Source organism: Homo sapiens, chromosome 9, assembly GCF_000001405.40.
Source record: "Homo sapiens chromosome 9, GRCh38.p14 Primary Assembly".
In the NCBI taxonomy this organism is placed as follows: Eukaryota; Metazoa; Chordata; class Mammalia; order Primates; family Hominidae; genus Homo; species Homo sapiens.
In genome coordinates, this window is record NC_000009.12 from 11,496,352 (window position 1) to 11,505,313 (window position 8,962).

The following is an 8,962-nucleotide window of genomic DNA, read 5'->3' on the forward strand; positions in this document are numbered from 1 at the left end:
AAAAAGTTACAAGTGATTGAGTCCTTTGACTTCAATGGTTGGTAGAACAGAAACAAATTAACTGTGCAGGAGACACAAAGATAATGTTTAAGTTTACTTTTACAGAGAGAAAGGGATCTTTTGGAATTTGATATTTTTGACATACAATTTCCCTTTTGTTTTTCCTTCATTATTAATAGTGGTGCTATGAATAACAGAGTATCTGAGTTTAAGAAATTAAAGGACTGGGGAAATTTCCTGAAATTTTTGCTTTGGGTGTAAAATTTAAGTAGCTGTCATTGGCTAAGTCTTGAAAGAATACCAAAAATCTATGAAGGGGAGAGCATACAAGATTGACATAAATTTCAAATACAGTGCTGGAAGACTGATTTAATACCAGCATGAAGAAGCTTTAAACTGTGGTGAATTTCATTTTGGCATTAAGGATTGGAATAGTATATGGGAATGTTTTCCAATCCCTTATACCTCTGATGATTCAGAGAAAAAAAGAGCCTACACATTTATGCATCACAGAATTGAGAAAACTAAGTGAAACTATCGCGTGTGTGTGTGTGTATATATACATATACATCATATAAACTAACAACTGATACAGATAAAAGACAAATAAGATAAGTAATAAAATACTTTGAGATAATCGTGTTGCATATCAACAAACATTTTAAGTTACTTTGTGGGAAACATCTTTATTACATTTTAAATTGGAGCAAATGCTGTTGACAGTAATATAAGAAAGAAACTATCAGTGGCAGATCTAAATTACCTCTGAGGCTTTGGGTTTTTATAGTTCTAATTTATATGATTCTGCTGGTCTACAGAAATTATTTTTATAACATATACATTCTCCATAGTTAAAAATCCTGACTAGAAACATTTATCATCTTAAATATGGCTAAAAAATTCTGATCTTAAGGGATACTAGGGACAATTTATCACCTTGAAAATGGATAAAAATTTTTCTAATCTTAAGGGATCTCACCTCATAATGTAAAGGCAACAGCTAGATTTATGGAGTTAAAATATTGTTTAGTTTAGCTCAGAAGTGTTTACGTATACACATTGTAGTAGTAGCTGTAGCTAATTGTATAATAGGCTTACGACCCTAATATTTATTTCAAATTTAGCTTTATTTGGTTGGTATTCTTCTGGTTTTGTGTTTGTATATGAGAATTAACTCTTCAAACATCCAAAAATAGCCTTCTTTCTTTTAAATTAAAACATTTAAAAAGAGGTTTACATAAATAGACTGTTGGCAGAAAGAGTCAAACCCTGTAAAATATTTGAAGAGATTTATTCTGTGTCAAATATGAGTGACTGTGGCCCGTGACACAGCCCTCATGAGATCCTCAGAACATGTGCCCAAGGTGATTGTGGTGCAGCTTGCTTTTATATGTTTTAGGAAGACTTGAGACTTCAATAGAATACATTTAAGAAATACATTGGTAAGGTCCAGAAAGGTGAGACAACTTGAAAAGGATGGGGAGGGGTGTTTGGGGGTCGGGTGGGGTGGCGTGGGGTGGCTTCCAGGTTACAGATAGATTTAAAAATTTTTTGGTGGACAATTGGTTGAGTTTATCTAAAGACCTGGGATCAATAGAAAGGAAATGCCTGGGTTGCCATAAGAGGTTGTGGAAACCAAAGTTTTATGCAGATGAAGCCTTCAGGTTTTAGGCTTCAGAAAGAATAGATTGTAAATGTTTCTTATCAGACTTAAGATCTGTGTTGATGTTAATGCCTGAGAGGTAGAATGAAGCATGTCCGACCCCTACTTCCCATCATGGCCTGAACCAGTCTTTCCAGTTAAAGCACCCTGGCTGAGGAGGAAGTCCATTTAGATGGTTGGGGAGCATTAGAATTTTATTTTTAGTTTATAATAAGAAACAAAAATTAGGGCTTAGTTGCAAAACTGATCTTTTTTTTTTTTAATTTTGAGATGGGGTCTCCCTCTGTTTCCCAGGCTGACTTCGAATACCACCTTAAGTGATCCTTCAGCCCCAGCCTCCCAAGTAGCTGGGATTAGAGTCACATTAAACTCATGTTTTAAGCCTGAATTGGGTCCCCATAAAATTCATATGTTGAAGTCTTAACCTTAGAATGTGACTATATTTGGGGATAGGTCCTTTAGATGTAATTGAGGTAAAATAAGTTCAGATAAGTGGGTCCTAATCCAATTATGACTGTGGTCCTTATAAGAAAAGAAGAGTTGGGAGTCCCAGGCGGGTGTATCACCTGAGGTCAGGAGTTTGAGACCAGCTTGACCAAAATGGTGAAACCTTATCTCTACTAAAAATACAAAAAATTGGCCAGGCGTGGTGGCAGGTGCCTATAATCCCAGCTGCTTGGAGGCTGAGGCAGGCAAATCCCTTGAACCTGGGAGGCAGATGTTGCAGTGAGCTGAGGTCACGCCATTGCACTTCAGCCTGGGCCATGAGAGCAAAACTCCGTCTAAAAAAAGCAAAGAAAGTAAAGAAGAGTAGGGCACAGACACAAACCAAAGGAAGACCATGTGAGGAGGTCACAGATTGAGAAGGCAGCAAACCAAGGAGAGAGGCCTCAGAAGAAACCACATTTGCCAACAACTTCATCTTGAAACTCAAGCTTCCAGGACTGTGAGAATATAAATTTATATTGTTTAAGCTACCCAGTCTATAGCATTGATAGGAAGAGGAGGCAAGAAATTCTGGGCAGAAGAGGACAGGTCCTTGGTGAGGACCAAAGTGAGAACTTACATCCCTGTTTTCCCGCTTGACTACTGCCTTTTCTAAAACCACCCATGCCCACCCTGCCTCCGATCCTGTGCCCATTAGAAACCTCAGGCTTAACCAGCAGAGAGAGGAGAGGCAGCTGAACATCAGAGGCTAGGGTTAGATGTGAGAGAGAAGTGGCTTGACTTCAGAGGGACAGCTTGACAGCATAGCTTTGGAGAGGAGTGCAGTCATCCCTACAAGATTATCTTCCTGCTCCATCCCTTTTCAGTTCCCCTTCCCACTGACAGCCACTATCACTGGCAATAAAATCCTCCACATTTACTATCTTCAATTCATTCATGCGACATTGTTCCTCCTGGTCGCCGGACAGGTACTCATGTGCCACAAGTGTGGATTCAAATGCTGTCACACTGACTCTTCACTGAGCTATTAACACTTAAGCCATCTGCAGATGGCAAAGCTAAAACGGCACTGCAACACTTCCTCTGGGGCTTCAGGGATCATGGCCATCCTGCCCTAGACATTGCCACAGGACCGGTACGGAATTTACTCTTGCCAGCACCCAAAAGTGCTCGCCCTGGCTCCTGCACCCACTCACCTGTGCTCCCCCTCCCACAATGGGTGGAGCAGCAAGTGAGTGGAGTTCACCCATGTCAGTGCCCATGCACTCCAGTTCCTGCCTGCGAAGAGGGTCAGGGAAATATCCTGCTTCAGTATTTTGTTATGGCAGCCTTTGCAAAGTAATTCAAATACTAAAGACAAAAGGTAAGCATGTTAGGCGCTTTTACAATTATTTCTTGTTTTTTAACACCATTCTTAACCTTCATTCCCACAAAAAAAAAATGCTAAAAATAACTTTAGCATAAGCTTTAGATAAGATGAAGAAAACTGGATGGTATCCTTCCTGCAAACTTACTACACAAATGCAAAATCACAATTTTTCTTGAATTTTTCATAGTTGAAGTCTCACAGCAATCAACTAAGTTGAAATATTCACAGATCCAGGCACCCACATGAAAGAATGTGGCGCAAGCAATTGAAACTGCATTTGCAAAAATTATATCAGTAAGAAAATGATGGCATTTGGGGAGATCTGATCTAGCCAAAACCTCTCCTGCTTTTAGCCTTCAAGCTGTCTTAATTACTCCTAGGCATAGCTAACTTTAGTAGACATTTAGTTTATCCTTTGAATGTTAATAGCCCTTCACCCAAACTCAACTGCCTTTGTAAAGCTACTGAGAGACCACCAGGCTAGGGAGAAGAGAGAAGCCTGAATTCTTCAAAGTATAGACATAAAAGATTGCCAGCCATTTATTTTGAAGGTCACAAGACATGCAACTTCCCCAATTACTTCTGCAGATAACATCACTGTTATAGAACCTAAGGTTGGCCTTTTGAGATATCTTTCTGAAATGGGAAAAGTTCCCTTGTCCCCCTAGCAGGCTGTGCAATGGGGGTGTGACTCGCTTCTTCAGTGCCCTGCTGCTCAAACCTCTAGGGGAGCATACAGATGGGCAGGCTGTGGGGCTCTGACCCCACTGCAGTGTTTAGCGGGTGAATGTTTACAGCTGAAGCCCCCGTGGGCATGTGTTACAGAGTGCTGTTTTCGTTTAGCTGTCCATAGGCGGCTTGTGTTAGTCAGCTCAATTAGACCCCTGACTTATCACAAGGACAGGGGGCTTTCTGTATCCTGGGGTTCTCGCCTTGGTGTACTGGAAGAATCGGATCACACGTGGGCTTGGAGAATGAGTGCAAGGTTTTATTGAGTAGAAGTAGCTCTCAGTAGATGAGGAAGCCAGAAGGGAGACTGGTTTTCCCCTGGAGTTGGGCCACTCAGTGTTCCAGGCTCTCCTCCAATTGCCCCAGCCAAACTCTGCGTTGTTCTGCCGGTCAGTGGCCTCCCCGCTGCCGGTGCCTGTTGGTGCATTCCTCTCCATGTCCAGCAACCCGTGTGTTCCTCCACTGATGTGCTCCTCTCGATGTCCAGCCACCTGTGTGCCTACCTGTTAGGGTCCTGAGGTTTTCATATGCACAGGATGGGGGCATGGCAGGCCAGGACAGAAATGCAACATTTGGGCAGGAAAACAAAAATGCCTGTCCTCACCTAGGTCCGTGAGCACAGGGCCGGGGGTGGAGCCCTAGCCAGGGACCATGCCATTCCCCCCTTCCGAATCATTTTCAGGTTTTTTGCACTTCTGACACCCATGGCTCCACATGGACCCACCAGCCCATGGCTCCTGTACCCACCCCAAAGTGACTCAGCACAAGAGAACAGCTTCCACTGCCTATGATTTTATCTCCAGCCCAATTGGTCAACAGCAAGCACCCACTGTTGCCACACTACTACTTCCCGCAAACTACCTTTGAAAAACTCCTAACTTATGAGCCCTTGATGATACTTGATTTGAGTAATAACTCCATCTCTGGCATGGCATGGGTGGCCTTTTATCAATTAAACTCTCTTTACTGCAGTTTCCTGAACTGACTTTTTTTTGTGCAGCAGGCAGTAAGAAAACCCAGTTACACAATTGCTTTTCTAAGAGAGAGACCAGACCTCTTGTAAACCATAATTTTGTTACAAATTTTAGCAAATGGCCAAAGGCCTGGTTTGAGGGGATTACAGAACCGGTTGTAGCACCAGACATGGAGAATTCAAAACTGCTTTCAGTCTTTTTTCCTCTTTTTCTCATTAAGCACATGCAAGCAGGATTGGCAACAGAGGAGTGGGGAGACAGGGAAAACCCTGTCTTGTGCTGGAGGCCTGGAGGGGAGGGAAAGAAGGAAACAATGAAGAAAAGACAAAACAGAGGCAAAGGGGGGCAATAATCCCTAAAAGATAGGAAAAACAAACAAACAAACAAACAAACAAACAAAAAAACAAAATAAAACAGCTGGGCTCTGGATTACCTTGGGTGAGCTTCTAGCCTACAGTGTAGGGAGAGGGAGAGGAAACTTAGGCAGAGCCCAGACAACTGTTTGATTTGAGGAGATGGAGCTAAGAATATGGGAAGATAAAAGTGGCTAGAGTTTGTAGAACAGAATATCATAGAGCAAAGAGCTGCACAGAGAAAGAACTACAGAGATCTGTAGACTCCACCTAGAATATTTAGCAAAATGATTATGAGCACATGCATGTAAGAAAATTACTTGAGAATAGGAAGAGAAACACCCGAAGTCATACAAGAGAATAATGCCTGGCACTCACTCAGAGCCAGGAGTAGTACCTCTTCCCATCAAACAGATTGAAAAACTCAGGACAACTGGGTCATTAGATAAGATACAGTAATCAGAATGGTTTTGCCTCAGAAATGTAGAATACCTAACGATAGACTAAATACTGCTTTAATAATGCCTAACAGTTGTTAACAACAAAAACTGAAATGATCACACTGTTTCTACATAGCCTGTGTGATTCAAAACAAATGTCAAAAACAATTTATAAGAGTATAAACATATTCATCACTCACCAAGGTGAAATTCACAATGTAGATATCAAGTTAAAAATTATCAGGCGTGCAAAGAAGCAGAGAAATATGACCTGTTAAGAAAGAAATATTAATCCATCAAAATCCAATTAAAGCATTTATTGGAATTACCAATAATGTTAAATTGTTATTATAACTGCATTCAATATATTTAAAATTTTAAGAAGAACATATAACAGAAGAAAATGATTAATCAATTCCAAAATTTTCTAGCCATTATTTTGTCAAATATTTGCTCTTTAATCACATCTCTCTATTCTTTTCTTGGGACTTCACTAACACTTATATGTAGCCACCTGAGGTCACATAGCTCAGGTATATTATTGTTTGTGTGTTTTATTTTGGAAAGTTCCTATTGCTATTATTGAGTTTACTAGCTTTTTTCCTTTGTAATATCTACTGTGCCTTTAATCTCATCCAATGTGCCTATTTAGCTTTTATCTCTAAATTTAGATGTCATTTTTTAATGGAGTTTGTCTTCATCTACTTAAATTTTTAACATATTAAAGTTATTACAATTGTTTAATGTATTTGATAATTTAAAGATATCAGAAATTTCCCACATATCTGTAAATAAAACAACACCTTTTATACAATGTATTGGGCCAAAATAGAAGCCTCCAAATTTTGGAAAATACGGTGAATTGAATAAAAATGAATACTACAGATATTGAAGTTTGAGGCAAGTAGTTAAAGCAGTGCTTTCTGGAGTTTTAAGGCATGAGTGTTTTAAGCTTTCATACTAGGAACTACAAACAAACAAAATAAAAAACTAATTACAACTAATTGCTCTCCTTCCCCTGCAAAAATCAAAGGAAGTTAAACATAAAAACAAAATCAATGGGATTGAGAACAGAAAAACAATAGAGAAAATAGTGAAAATGTATGATTATTTATAAAAATCTATTAAAAGAAAATTATCAAGTTAGATTGACCAGGAAAAAGAAGTGAGTCATAGTGTACACACAAATTGCAAATATCAGGAAAGAAAGGGGGAACATTGCTACATACCATGAAAGTATTTAAATACTAATAGGGGAAAATTGCAAAGAATTTTTTTTAAATGGTACACTTTTTAAACGGTACACTTTTTTTAAACGGTACACTCAAGAGGAAACAGATAACATGAATAGTCATGAATCAAGTCCTGGATAAGAAATAGTCTTAGATTAAGAAAATTAAATTTGTGAGAAAAATATTCAGGAGAAAAAATGTTCTATTGGTTCAGAAGATTTCTGCAAATTTTACCCAACATTTAGGAGAAATACTGAGGATGATTTCAGCAATGGTAGAGTAAAAACCTTCAAAAACCTGCTGTTCTGTAAAAACACAGGAAACTGGCAAAATTGCCAAAATTAATGTTTAAGAGAAATATATATCTAAGAAAAATGGCTGAATTTTGGTAAGAATGGTGAGATTCATGGCATTTAAATTTTCCCTATTTCATCCCCCAATAATGTAATCACCAGATGGGTTCTTCATGCCCACTGCACAATGACCACAGCATTGCCGTAAAGAAACAGTTTAATTGACATGAGGCCGGTCAAGCTACACAGGAGACAGAGTTAGTACTCAAATCCATCTTATTGTAGGCTAACAGGATAGGGGCTTTTCAAAGGTTGTTTGGGGGAATGGGTGGATGTGACTAGCCAATGGGTGCTTGCTGCTGATTAGTTATGTTGGAGAGGAAATCATAGGAAGTGGAAGCTGTTCTCTTGTGCTGAGTCACTTCGGGGTGGGGCACAAGAGCCATGGTTTGGTGGGTCTATATGGATCCATGGGTGTCAGACATGCAAAAAATGAAAAGATATCTCAAAAGGCCAATCTTAAGTTCTACAATAGTGATGTATCTGCAGAAGTAATTCGGAAATTTGCATATATTTTGACCTCCAGAATAATGGCTGGCAACTGTTTATGTCTACATCATAGCAGAACTCAGGCTTCTCTCCTCCTTCTAGTCTAATGGTCTCCCATTAACTTTATAAATGGGGGTTGAGCTTCGGGGAAGGGCCATTATCATTTAAACTATAAACTAAATGCTCCCACAGCTAGCCCAGCCTAAGCCCAAGAATAATTAAAGCAGGTTGAAGGCTAAAGACACAACGAGTAATGCTAGGTCAGATCTCCCCCATAGCTGTAATTTTCCCACCGCTGTACTTTTTGCAAAGGCGGTTTCAAAAACGAACAGCTTCACCATCATTGTAGCCATAAAAACTAGAAAAGTAGCAGGAACCAGAGGGGAATAATGTGTTTCAATCTCCCCCAAAAGTTACCAAACCCAAAAATATTCATTATTTGACCTGTCTTGCAGCTTTATGGAAAAAAGCCCAGGCATGGGTTTGACCTGACTCAGAGCTTACTCAATATGAACAGCCTTTGCCTAAAACCCTTATCAGAAACAATCAGAGCCAATCATTTATGCCACTCATTTATTATTGCATCTGTTTGAGACAACGGTAACAGTTTGGGCAAACAAGAACCTGACCAAAATATTGAAAGAAAAGCTGAGCTAAACCAGCTAAAACATGTAGAGATTCCTGACACGGAGAAAGTATAAACTAATAATTGCTTTAAGCCACTAAATTTTGAGTAATTTTAAAAAATGTAGCAGTAGATAACTAAGAGGGATCACATGGCTAGAATTTGAGGAAATATCATCTTAAAATAATGCAGTCTAGCTTCATTTCTGATAAACAGTCTTTTGTCACTATGCTCAAAGTTGACCTTTTATAATTTTATGAACTATACAACTTCTAAAAAGAAACACAT

General features: G+C 39.2%; 1 long non-coding RNA gene across 4 annotated transcripts in view; it reads right to left on the reverse strand.

Moving 5' to 3' along the window:
- Positions 1-6,247, reverse strand: part of LOC105375974 (uncharacterized) — a 248,630-nt gene extending 242,383 nt beyond the window's left edge. For all 4 annotated transcript variants that reach the window (XR_007061893.1, XR_001746618.1, XR_929476.2 and 1 more), the window contains exon 1: positions 6,176-6,247. This is a non-coding gene — a long non-coding RNA (uncharacterized LOC105375974). The remainder of the gene's footprint in view (positions 1-6,175) is intronic.
- Between the last annotated feature and the right edge of the window lie 2,715 nt (positions 6,248-8,962).